Here is a 13,477-nt window from a genome sequence, read left to right as displayed (position 1 = left end):
CATGGGTGCTAAGGTGAGGTCTGTTCAGAAACTGCTTAAGAATCCTCAGGAGAACAGCCCCCCTCCACCTGGGAGAGGGGCTCAGTATCAGAGCATCTGTGGCAAGACAGCTGGAAAAGGGACCTTAAAGAATCTATACCTCCAACTTCCGCCCCTCCCCTCTCCATGGTAGCTGGAGAACACATGCTGAGCGGCTGTGACCCATTAGAGCCATCAGAGCAACACAGAGGGCAGCACAGGCACACACAGTGACACTCAGGCTGACACGGATGTGCACACATGGAGTTAAGCCAATTCCAGTGGAGTCTGCACGTGCTGCGCTGCCACACTGCTCACCTCCAAGAGGGGACAATGCAAGAACTTGTGGTATAGGCAAAATGAAACACATTCGAATCACAGACATTCTATTTAGAAACCAACAGCATTAATTAGGCACAGATATTAAGTGTGTTTAATTATCTCTTTTAAAGACGTTTTCCATGGATGTTTATTGGTGTTATATGACAGACACAGTAAGAATCAGATAAGTCACCCTAAAAGTAATGGCATTTGCTGTTTCAGAACAAGAGGAACAAATGCCACAAACACAGAGGTCTTTCCCTGATGCTGCTTGAGAAGCCTGTGCCATGCACTGCTCACGAACCATGTCTTTCATTAGAAAGCTTGTATGCGGCACAATATATCATTACATTGAGCTGCCTGTGTTTTTTCTGTTTTTGCCAGGTCCCAGGACTCAACTTTTCAGGAAAAAGATGTGACGGGTTCATTTCAGTGAGAGTTTTCATTTCAAAGCCTTTTTCTCAATTGGTAGTTTTCAAAACTGGGAGGAGCCAGAGCTGAAAAAGTTATTATCTTTTCATCTATTACATTATATGTGTCCAATGAAACAGATCACTTTTAGGTCCCTAAAAACACACTGGCTTGTTCACATTTCTGGAAGAGAAAGAGCAGGCTCCCAAGCCACAACTAAGATATGGAGATGCCACTGTGTCAAAGAGGTTCAAGGCATTGCACCAGAATAACTCTAAGGCTGGCACTGGAGTTTCTTACTCTCCCACCAGGGAAAGGTCAGCTAACCAACCAGTCCAGAGAACAGCAGAGCTTAAAGAGACCTCAAAAACGACCCCCTCTTCCCACCTCTTTTAACAGAGGCAAGAGGCAGGGCTGAGAATGAGATGTTACTGGTTGGCTGCAAACATGACACTGGGAATGAGATATTGCTGGTTGACTGCAAAGATGAGGCTACCGCCTTCCTTCCCCACATACCTTAACATCAGTTATTCTGACTCTGAAATAAAAATATCTGTGAAAGTGTAACAGGACCGAAGATCATGGATGAGTTAGATAATATCCCACTGTTTAGTTACTGAGTTCCAGCAATGAATGCTGGTTTGCATTTCTGCCCAGGTGCTTCATCTCGTGCTTATCAGCCTGGCTGCAACCAACCCTGTGAGTGCCCACGGACGCAAACAGAGCTTAAGAACCAGGTAATCTCATGTCTGGATCCAGGTGCTTTTTGGGTGATCTTACCTTCTCTCAGTTGTCCTTGAGGACCTCGTCAGAGAATGCTCTGCAAGTTCTTTGGCTGTGGCTGAACCAAGAATGACTTTTGAGTTCTCACTAGATGACTGTCAAAGTCAAACTGAGTTTCAATCAAGAACTCATTCAGTCAAGATGGAAACACTAGGTGGCTTCCGGAGCTTTGAGGGTGTGAGTTGGTTTCAAGTCTTGCTCATGGGGTAGGTGCTGGAAGTGGCTGAACCACCAGCAACTAACTGCCATATAGTCAACTCTTTACAAGGGGCAGCTTGCCAGAGAAGTGCAAAATCAGACAAGAAACCAGCATCTCCGGCACTTGTCTGACTTCCTGCCAAATGCACTGACAGACAGAAACGTTCTGATGCCTGATTTCAGTACCATGACATGTTCTCATTGGTGTCCATTCTAAAATTTTGAAATGTTTTTTGAGAAGGGATTAAACTGTTAGATTGGGAGGTAGGTTTGCAAATCACTGGAAAATCAAAAAAGAAACATTCTGTGCTTAAAAAAAAACGTGACGTTAAGATTGAAGATGCAGGATGCAGCATAGGGAGTCCTAAACTGGCAGGACGTATGCGGAGATTTCCTAGAATATCAGGGTTCACGCTGCATGGTCTGGCCTGTGTCTCAGAATATACATAAGAAACATGGCATCTCATAGAAGAACCTGGCCTGTGTCTCAGAGTATACGTAAGAAACACAGCATCTCATACAAGAACCTATTCAGGGCCACCATAGAAACTCAGGACTTGTCTTTTACCATTTATCATTAAAATAACGTACATGTGAAGCAACACAAGTTCTGACTCGGATTTTCTTCCAATGACAGACAATAGGGAAGCAAGACAGAGGCAAACGAAACAAAAGCAGACACAGAGGCCACCCAGAACGGCCTCACTACTGTTTCAGTAGGGAACACTGTGAAACCTAGTTTTCCTATTCTCCCTCTACCTCCACTTAAAATTCACATCCTTTGGTGTCCAGAGGGAGAGCTCTGTCTATAAAGTAATGACCTTGTCTGGCGCATGTGTAGTCCTAGTTAGTCAGAAGGCTGAGGCAGAAGAATCTCCTGGGCTCAGTAGTTCGAGTCCAGCCTGGGCAACATAGTGAGACCCCCATCTCTAAAAATAAATAACTAAATAAAATAATGATCTCGATATTGATTTTTCAACAGTGAATTGTGGAGCTAGCTATATCTGATCTTCATCCTTCCCCAAAGGCCATTTTATGTAAAAGTTATAAACAAAGAAATAAGGAATTACTTGGAGCAGAATTGACAGGAGAATCACAGCTGAATTCTGAAAAATCTCCTCTTTCCAATGTCATGAAATTCATGATAACCAAACATCAGATCAAAAGGCTCAGGAGCTAGCCACTGATCTTGGAAACATGTAAACACTAGGGCCACCTGATCAACATTCAAAACCCAGGAAATTTGATCTAAAAAGACTATGTTTGATATTTGAGAGACACCTAAAAATTCAAAATCATTTCCTAATATCCAAGAATCTCAAAGTTAAGGACACTGATTCCTCATTGGGTAAATATAATATTAGCTAAAGCAAAAAATGCTGTTTATAAATTTGTCTGTAAACCATCTAAATTTCAGATAATAATTAACATTGCATTCACTTTGGGAATACCTTCCTCTTAAATGTCACTGTTAGTAGAGCTCCCTGGGCTGATACACTGTGTGCTTCTCCCCATCAAGAGCAGAAGGGAATGTCACACATCAGCCAAATGCATGTTTTCTACTCTCATCCTTTTTTAATAAAATAGGTTATGTCAAGGCCTTTTGACGTAGCTCATGGGTGTTCTCAATAAGCAGGCACATCCTTGGGCCCAGAGGAATGTGTCCTTCTCCGGCGGCTCCTCCCCTTGGGAGTGATTCCAGCTTCTCCCACTGCATGGGAGTGACCTGTACAAGGTGGTGGATTCGTATTTATTAGTGTGCACTCCCCTGCATTAATAAATACTAAGATTCAGGGAGCATTCTAGACAGGACTTCTATTCTTTAAGCCTAGCAGGATACTTGGCTAGAACTGGCCCTTCATATGTAAGTGAGGAGCTTAGCAGCCTCTTATGCTGCAGCATGGCAGGGACTGGGTACTGTACAGAATGTTCCTAGTGGTAAGGTGGTGCTAGTAATTCAGGGTGATCTCAGAAAGGAAATAGCAGAACCTGGCACAGACATGAAGAGTCCCATCCCCACCAGGGAGCCCCATACATAGTGATTGAGAAGCAAGCACGGCCCTGGTGCCCACCAGACTCACGGAGGGGCGGCTCTGCTGGTGACCACCCTGCCGTGGCCCTGCACATCCCCCAGCTCCTTCTGCAACCGGGCATTCTTCTCCTCCTCCTCCAGCAGTTTCCTCTTCACGGTGCGCAGCTCCTGCTGGGCCTCACACTTGATGTCATTGGCCACCACCACTGCGGTCTGCAGATCCGCCTGGAACCGCCTCCATTCCTCGGTCTCCTCCTGAAAATGTCAGAGCCCATCCTTATGTCAGACGCCTGCCAGGGCCAGTGCCTGGGCAGGGACCCCAGAGTCCCCGTGTTGGTCACCAAGAAAAAAATGCCATCAGTGCTTGGTGAGGCCCTGCTTACACGGTGGCTCACTGCTAGGAAAAGGCACTGGTGGAATTACACCTTCAGGTTATGAGAATTCTCCATCCTGACACCAAATGACTCCTTTGATTTTACTTCCTGCCAACAAGAATTTACAGTTCCAGGGCCCACCATGCCGTGGAAACGTTCCAAGAGAAAGCAGGATAGAGAGAGTGATCCACACCTCGGAGCGGGTAATTCATAGGAAGATGGTGGTGAAGGCTCCCACCCGCATCTCACCTTCATCTGCTTGGTCAGAGTCTTCAGCTGCCTCTCCAGGTCTGACTTCTGTTCCTCCAGCTTGATCACACTACCTAGAAATAAATAATTCAGACAGGGCTTAGAAAAGCTGTGAGACTCTTAAGAGAAGACACGCTAGGTAGCAAAGAAAGGGGCAGCTCCAGATGCCACAACAGGCATCCAAATCCATCCATTCTACTCTAAATGCAACTTTTAGCAATTTCAATTTACCCTGTAAACCAGGGAATGGACACAAGAGCCTCCTCTGAGATAAAGAACAGGATGATCTGGAAAATATGTGATGTGTATTGAGGTTACAGTCTCAGCAGACAGAATGCACAACCAAATAGCAGCACTACGGGAAGAGGCCTCCATGGCCATGCACACTTGCATACCGAGTCCGGCCTCCCTCGCACTCACACACAATCGTCCTAAGTGTCCTTTATTGCTGTGAGATAGAGGCTTTCACATAACAGAGCACATGAATGCTTATTCCTCCTGTGATTTGTAAAGCACTTTCTAGAGTCATGGGTCTCAATCACAGTTAAGCCTCTAAATCACTGGTGAAGCTTTTCAAAAGCACCGATGTTCTAGTCCCACACTCCAGACACCTGGAGGCAGAATCTCCAAGGGCAGACAGAACCCGGGGATGTGTGCATTTAACATCTTCCCAGGTGGTTGCCTGCCTCTCCCTACTTAAGGACACCTGCAGCCCCTTGTTCTCCTTGCCTCCAATTCTCTCCATCTGGCTATCAGAGTCATTCAAATTTAAATCTGATGGTGTCAGTCACTGAGCTGAAATTCCTCAATAGGTCCTCATGCTCTAACCTAGAGCATTAGCTTTCTATGAAGGATGCAAATCAGAATCACCAGAGTAGGCTAAAAAGATGCTGTGGGCAGGTCCTACCCCAGCAGTTCTAGTTCTAGTGGGACTGAGAGTTTGTGTCTGGAATCAATGCTGCACAGTAGAAAACACTCCCTAACTTCCTTTTATTTTCCAGTCCATTCCTTTCCCATCAGGATCTTATAGGAAGAAGTGATTGGTCTAGGCTGGATTTATGTGTCCCTAGGTCTCTGTGCAAAAACATATCTTAACAATACCTCAATATCCTTTTAAAAAGTTTAAAAGTTTTTCAAAAGATGGCTTGCATTGTTGTCAGTCTTGGATATATGATGATATAACCACAGGCATGTGTCTAAATTTTGCTGTGGACATTAATTATACACTGGTTTTCTTAGTGTGTCTGTGCTGACTTTTAAGGATTTAGGGACAATACAACCCTATTTTCAACAGCAAAATATCACAAAAACAAAAACAAAACAGAACTTGTCTTGACTTTTCTTCTCAATCATGGTGCTGGGTTTGGAAGGATACACTGATGATGATGGCGTCCAGGTTTTCAGTTGTATCCTGAGAACAGCCTGGATGGCACTGACACTGAACGCTGAGGTTCTGCAGTTCTACTACATGTCATGTTCAAGGAGAAATGGGGCAGGTGCTGTCAACTGTCACTCTAACCAACTAGTCAATGTCTGAAATACATAGTCAATTCTAATAATCATGGTAGTTGCAGAGAGTTGCCATGCACACCAAATCAGCAAACACCGAACTATTGTCTCTAGGAAAAATACAGGTTAGGTTCCTGCAAGCCTCTGGTCACAACATTCTCATCAACTAAAATGCCATTTGCATTATATAGACGTATCTGCCAATGTCTCTATAAACAAGCCAGGCTCATCAACCATGGAAACCCACTCTTTCCTTTTTTCCTCTTCCTGAATAACACTTAGCAAGTATTTTTAAATTCTTCTTCAGCCTCCTGATCTGCAGAACCTCCCCTGCCTGCAAGGTTAACCTTTCTCACACTTTATGGCCTTTTGAAACTTGGGAGCCAACCAGCACTAGCCAAGAAGGGGTTAACATTTTCCTGACCCTGGGTGATGTGAACAAATATTGCTTTGGTTTTCAGCCACACAACAATATTGCCCACAGCTTTTTAAAACTGGCTGTCATCTCACAAATCCATGAATTTGGCTGCTTTAGCACATCGCTTTAGCATGTCTCAGGGCAGCCTTATATACATATTGTCAAACTTCTCCCTTTCTCTGATGCACCGTATTGGGCTTTTTTGTTTGGTTTGGTTTTTTTATTTTTTTAGAGATGCAGTCTTGCTCTATTGCCCAGGCTGGAGTGCAGTGGCACAATCTTGGTTCACTGCAGTCTCAGCCTTTCAGGCTCAAGGGATCCTCCCACCTCAGCCTCCAGAGAAGCTGGGACTAAAGGCATGCGCCACCACACGTGGCTAGTTTTTATTTTATTTTATTTTTTTGTCAAGACAGGGTCTCACTATGTTGCCCAGGCTGGTCTCGAACTCCTGGGCTCAATCGATCCTCCTGCCTCAGTCTCCCAAAGTGCTGAGATTACAGGGATGAGGTCACTGCACTTAGCCTGATGCGCTTTGTTGATTCAATAACACCGAACTCACGCACAACGGGACAAGAGCTTGCGTCTGCATGAAGCTTCCCTAATACACGTGTTTTCTCTGTAGGTGCGTCTCAACCTCACTGTGCTTGGGGACAGTGGACAGCACTGCACTCAGGGCCATTTTAAATAGCAAAGTCACCAAAAACAAAAGCACAAAAATGTTAAAAGCATGGTATTAAGCAGACTGTAAAAAAGACACATGTACAGTATGAGAAGGCCAAGTGTCTCTGTCTGACCCGAGTTGGGAACATAAGCACTGGATGACACAACCTTTTCACTTCTCTGTGCATGTCTGAAAATGACTGTGGAAGTGCTCTGTGTATTGGTTTTGGGGTTAAAATACGTTTTATCAAGCAGATGAATTCACCAATGTGAAATCTGTGAATAAGGAGGATCGACTGCATGGGGTAAGGAACTTCTCAGGCAACTGACCAAGCTATTCTTAGTAATGGCTGGTGTGACTAAATGCTTTGTGCATTAAATCTTTTGTTACAAAAGAAAACACATTAGATGTGATAATTTGGTAAGGCTTATTTGGACAAAGAAGGTAATGTTTAATCTCTTTTAAAAATTTCTTTCCCAATTCAAAGCAAACTATGAGTTCATAAATAAGCCATATGCTGATGTCTCTTCAGCAACTAAGTGGCAAACATCTAGAAGTTACTTGATATCCTACCACCAATGGGACACATGCGGGAATTGTTTTCTCCCTTAGACCAAGAGCACACATTGTTCATCCACTCTGATACCTATCATCCATCTCTGTCAGATACAAGAGATAACACAGTGTCAGTACTTGATGACTGGCAAGCAATTTCTTCTGAATAACCTTCTCCTACCCTGCAAAATATCCTTAGGAAGGGTCCCTGTGAACTCTCACAGTCACAGCTAAAGTATCCTAACATGTGGCCTTCAAGCTGATCAGGCTGCCTGGAGACAGCAGCAGTAGCATGGCTCACACAAAACACATCCAGCACAGCCAAAAAACATTTGCAGCTCAATACGGTGGCTCACACCTGTAATCCCAGTGCTTTGAGAGGCCAGGAGGATCACCTGAGCCCAGGAGTTTGAGGCTGCAGTGAGCTACAACTGCACCACTGCACTCCAGCCAGGGTGATAGAGCAAGACTTCTTAAAAAAAACAAAATGAAAAGCATTTCTATTTTTCGCAATCACCTACACACTGCTGACTCATGTTCAACAGCCTGTTCTTCTGTCATCCCAGTTTTCAACTGCTATGATCATTGATCTCTTAATCTCTAGTTTTTAAACTGGAGATTAATGATTGTTTCTTAGGTGACATTCTTCCTAGGAGATTACAGCGCACTCAAATGAGAGACTTCATAAACCCCAGCCAACATACAGTCAAACCCACCCCCCCTCGTCACCCACTGCTGCTGGTTTCTTTAGTGTCCTACTCAGCTCCATTCCACATTTCTCCTGGGCTTGACCTCATTTGCTTTCTTTTGCAGTGGCGCAATCTCGGCTCACTGCAACCTCCGCCTCCTGCGTTCAAGTGATTCTCCTGCCTCAGCCTCCTGAGTAGCTGGGATTACAGGCGCCCACCACCACGCCCGGCTAATTTTGTATTTTTAGTAGAGACAGGGTTTCACCATGTTGGTCAGGCTGGGTCTCGAACTTCTGACCTCAGGTGATCCTCCTGCCTCAGCCTCCCAAAGTGCTGGGATTATAGGTGTGAGCCACCATGCCTGGCAGACCCCACTTACTTTCTAGCTCACTGATGAGTTGATTATTGTGTAACTTGACAGCCCGGTGCTGTTCCACCTGATCTTCCAATTCAAATATGGTTTCTTTCATGTCTTTGATCTCTGCATCACTCTCTGATGCTTTTTCTTGCAGCTTTAGGCTGGTTCTGCTCAGCTGTTCGGCTTGGTGATCACATATCTCCTTCAGGTATGAATAATCCTTTTCCACCTAAAATAAAAGGAAGGTTCCTTGGTCAGTTAACAACAAAAAAATTCCCACAGTGATCTGTACACTAGAAGGCCAAGCCCCACCATGATGCAATATACCCATGTAACAAACCTGAACATGAACCTCTTCAATCTAAAATAAAACATTACGAAAAGCTCCCCACAAGTCAGCAGCAGGCTCACGGACATAGTAGCAAAGACGCCCTTGGCATGTGCTGTTTCTTGCATTCTTAGCCTCAGAAACAGCCAAGGCTGTGAATAGTCAGAGAAACACGATGTATGCTTCCAAATGGCTGGATTCTGTGCCCCCTCCTACAAGCAGGAGGGAATCTGCACGTACTTAAATATTCCTCTTTCCCACAGCTGGGGAGAGCAGTGCTTCCCTGGGAGAGCAGTGCTTCCCTGGGAGGCACTGGCCCTGCACCAAGAGAGCTGCCTGGTGTGGCCACCCCCACCGCACATCTGCTATGGAGCAGCGCCCTCTGCTGCTGAGCTGTGAACAACAACCCTGAAGCCAGGCTAATCTGCACACCCCCAGGTTCCCTTAGAGATAAGATACTTGGGGCTGCAATGCTTCTTTAGAGGAAACTCTAAAGATTCTCTATCACATTCATGCTCTATCACAGCAAAAATGTGATAGAGAATGTCGGCGGAAGGCACACAAAAACGTACATACACAGAAGCAGAAAAGTGGCACGGCACAATCGCTTCATCTGTTCAATTTTTTAATTGTTAAACATTTTAAATACACAGAAAAGCACCAAAAATAATAATCATGCACCAAACAGACTTAACAATGGTTAAATGTTGTCACATTTGCAAAATCTTTTTACTTTAATAAGAATTTTTTAAAACCTCAATCTTCCCTCCTACCTCAGAGAGTAATAAGCATTATCCTAAAATTGGTATGTGGTCAATCCTTGAATGGTTTTTCACTTTTACTATATATGCATGTGTCCATGACAATACATAGTATTGTCCTTTTACACAATGCTACACTATATTGTGCTTTTGCAGTGGATTATACTGTATCTGTATTATTCTGCATTTATAACATGGTAATATGCTTTGTCCTCTACAATACTATGCTTACTATGCTCCTGCATTTTAACTGTGTTTTTGAAATGTATCCACACTGATACACATCATGCTAAGTCATTACTTTAATTGGTGCATAGTATTCCACTGTTTGACTATATTATTTTATTATTACAAAAATGCTGCAATAAACATCATTGTCCCTTTTCTACAGTCCTTTAATTAACATTACTAAATAGCTGTATATTTACCAGGTAATCTGGCGCTGGGGGTGGGGTTTCTTTGTATGAAATGAAATTTTTTTCCAATTACATTTCATGTGCAAAACCTTCTGGCTATAAGCTCTATGGGAATAGGGACCTTGTCTGTTTAATTCACCATTGCACCCCTAGTATCTACACAGCATCACACACAGGAGGCATTTAATGAATATTTGATGAATGATTGAATGAACACTGGGAGGCAGCACTGCAGGATCATTCACTGGGAAATTGTGACAAAGGATAAGGAAAGGAGGAGAGACCTGGAGACAGAACAACATGGCCAAAAAGGATCCTCCAGCAATGGCTTCCCTGCAGGAACACCAAATGGAACTGCTATCCACGTAAGAAAGCATCTTCATAAGAACCAAAAATCAGATGAACGATCACAGTGCCTGGTTTTAACACATCATATCAAGGAAAGATGCACCGGAGAGGGGAGGAAAGACCGTCTTGACTCTCCAACATCCCCTCTCCCTCATCCCTTGGCAGCAACCACATGGTAGAGAGACAGCATCTGTGCACCCCGGGGGAGGGAAAGCACAATGATTGTGAGATTGCATTGGAATTTGGTGCTGTCCCATCACAGCAGAAAGCAACACAGGACAGAATTCAGCCAGCACCCATAAAAGGAGCATTTAGACCAGCCCTAGCCAGAGGGGAATCTTCCATTCCAGTGAGAATCTGAGTTCTGGCAAGCCCTACCTCTGTGGGCTAAAGCACTTTGGAGTCCTAAGTAAATCTGAAAGAGGCTAGGCCACAAGGGCTGCAATTTCTGGGCAAGTCCTGGTGCTGTGCTGGGCTCAGACAGTGGACTTGGAGTGCACATGACCCAGTGAGACACCACCTGGAGCAGCCAAGGGAGTGCTTGCACCACTCTTCCCCCAACCCCAGGCAGCACAGCTCACAGCTCTGGGCGGAGAGGGAAGAGTAAAGAGGACTTTGTCTTGCAACTTGGATACCAGCTCAGCCACAGTAAAATAAAGCACTAAGCAGATTCCTGAAGCCCCCATTCCGGGTCCTAGCTCCCAGATAACATTTCTAGACATAGCCTGGACCAGAAGGAAACCCACTGTCATGAAAGGAAGGACCCAGTCCTGGCAGCATTCATCACCTGCTGACCAAAGAGTCCTTGGGCTTTGATTAAACATCAGTGGTACCCACACAGTACTCATCATGGGCCACACACTGTACCGGCTTCAGGTGTGACCCAGTGCATTCCCAGCTGTGGTGGCCACAGGGAGAGATCCCTTCTGCTTGAGGAAAGCAGAGGGAAGAGTAAAGGGGACTTCATCTTGCAACTTGGGCACAGCTCAGCCACAGTAAAATAAAGCACCAAGCAGGCTCCTAAAGTCCCCCATCTAGGCCTTAGTTCCTGGACAGCATTTCTAGACCCACCGTGGACCTGAAGGGAGAGATCCAGACCTGCTGACTAAAGAGAACTTGGGCCCTGAATAAACATCAGTGGTGCTGCCACAGGCTTGGGGTGGCGGTGGCCACTGGCAGAGATCCCTTTGGCTTGAGAAAAGGAGAGGGAAGGGTAAAGGGCTTTGTCTTCCAACTTGGATACCAGCTCAGCCACAATAAAATAAAGAACCAAGCAGACTGCTAAAGCTGCTGACTCCAGGCCCCAGCTCCCAAGTAGCATTTCTAGACCCACTCTGGGCTAGAAGGGAACCCATCACCCTGAAGGGAAAGATACAAGCCTGGCTAGATTCCCCATCTGCTAATTAAACGGCCCTTGGGCCTTGAATAAACATCAGCAGTAGCCAGGCAATAGTCACCACAAGTTTTGACTGAGACCCAGTGCTGGGCTGGCTTCAGGTCTGACCCAGCACAGTCCCAGTAGTGGTAGCCACAGAAGTGCATCACCCCTGCTCCAACTCCAGGCAGCTCAGCATGAAGAGAGAGACTCTGTGTGTTTAGGGGAAAGTAAGGAAAAGGAACAAGAGACTCTGCCTCATAAACCGGGAAATTCTCCTAGATCTTATCTAGGATCACCAAGGTGATACCTCAATGAGTCTGCAAGAATCACAGCATTACTGGGCTTGTGGTGCCCCCTAATGCGGACACAGCTGCAGTGACCAAAGGCTTAGATCCTAACACTCAATTCCCTTTGAATATCTGGAAAGTCTTCTCAAGAAAGACAAGTACAAACAAGCCCAGACTGTGAAGACTGAATAAATACCGGACTCTTCCATGCCCAGACATCTATGAACATCCACAAGCATCAAGACCATCCAGTAAAACATGACCTCATCAAATGAAGTAAATAAGACACCAGTGACCAATCCCAGAGTGACAGAGATGTGATCTTTCAGACAGAAAATTCAAAATAGCTGTTTTGAGGAAGCTCAATGAAATTCAAGATAACACAGCGAAAGAATTTAGAATCCTTTCGATATATTTAATAAAGAGATTGAAATAATTTTTTTTTTTTTTTGAGACAAAGTCTTGCTCTGTCGCCCAGGCTGGAGTGCAGTGGTACTTTCTCGGCTCACTGCAACCTCTGCCTCCCAGGTTCAAGCGATTCTCCTGCCTCAGCCTCCTGAGTAGCTGGGATTACAGGCAGGCGCTACCACGCCCGGCTAATTTTTGTATTTTTAGTAGAGACGGGTTTCACCATGTTGGTCAGGCTGGTCTCAAACTCCTGACCTCGTGATCTGCCCACTCCGGCCTCCCAAAGTGCTGGGATTACAGGCATGAGCCACCGCACCCGGCCGAGATTGAAATAATTTTTTAAAAATAAAGCAGAAATTATGGAGCTAAAAGTTTATGACATACTGAAGAATGCATCAGAGTCTCAACAGCAGAACTGACCAAACAGAAGAAAAATTAGTGAGCTTGAAGACAGGCTAATTGAAAATATACAGAGGAGACAAAATTTAAAAAAAATAAAGCACACATACAAGATCTACAAAACAGTCTAAAAAAAGCGCAAATCTAGTAAGTTATTGGCTTTAAAGAGGAGGTAGAGAGAGAGATTGGGGTAGAAAGTTTATTCAAAGGGATAACAACAGAGAACTTCCCAAATCTAGAGAAAAATATTAATACTCAAGTACAATAGGTTATAGAACACCAAGCAGACTTTGCCCAAGTAAGACATTTTAATAAACAAATTCCCAAAAGGCAAAGATAATGAAAAGATCCTAGAAGCAGCAAGAAAAAAGAAACAAAGGAGCAGACTTCTCAGTGGAAACCTTACAGGCCAGGGAGAGAGAGGCATGCCATATTTAAAGTACTGAAGGAAAAAATGTCAAACATGACAGAGAAATAGAGACTTTCCCAGACAAACAAAACCTAAGAAATTTCATCAACAGCAGACAAGAAATGCAAATGGGAGTTCTTTGATCTGAAAGAAAAGGACATTAACAA

At 44.6% G+C, this 13,477-nt stretch overlaps 1 protein-coding gene across 34 annotated transcripts in view, besides 1 other annotated feature; it reads right to left on the bottom strand.

Moving 5' to 3' along the window:
• Positions 1–13,477, bottom strand: part of SPECC1 (sperm antigen with calponin homology and coiled-coil domains 1) — a 309,668-nt gene that overhangs the window by 82,809 nt on the left and 213,382 nt on the right. For 31 of the 34 annotated variants that reach the window (NM_001386083.2, NM_001386078.2, XM_047437065.1 and 28 more), the window contains 3 exons: positions 8,598–8,805; positions 4,387–4,460; positions 3,813–4,018 (listed from right to left, as the gene is read on the bottom strand). In NM_001386083.2, coding sequence (NP_001373012.2) covers positions 3,813–4,018; positions 4,387–4,460; positions 8,598–8,805 — 488 coding nt within the window. Of the gene's footprint in view, positions 1–3,803; positions 4,019–4,386; positions 4,461–8,597; positions 8,806–13,477 lie in introns of all 34 variants that reach the window. The other 3 variants (NM_001386079.1, XM_047437073.1, NM_001243438.2) reach the window with 1 other exon arrangement.
• Positions 3,893–4,393: an enhancer, noted in NCBI's record as "H3K4me1 hESC enhancer chr17:20135138-20135638 (GRCh37/hg19 assembly coordinates)". NCBI's record gives its function as "activates a minimal SCP1, AML or CMV promoter by ChIP-STARR-seq in naive H9 embryonic stem cells {active_cell/tissue: H9 hESC(naive)}" and the evidence as "EXISTENCE:reporter gene assay evidence [ECO:0000049][PMID:30033119]".

Source organism: Homo sapiens, chromosome 17 (assembly GCF_000001405.40).
Source record: "Homo sapiens chromosome 17, GRCh38.p14 Primary Assembly".
NCBI classification, from domain to species: Eukaryota; Metazoa; Chordata; class Mammalia; order Primates; family Hominidae; genus Homo; species Homo sapiens.
This window is presented reverse-complemented; position numbering and strand designations above follow the sequence as displayed.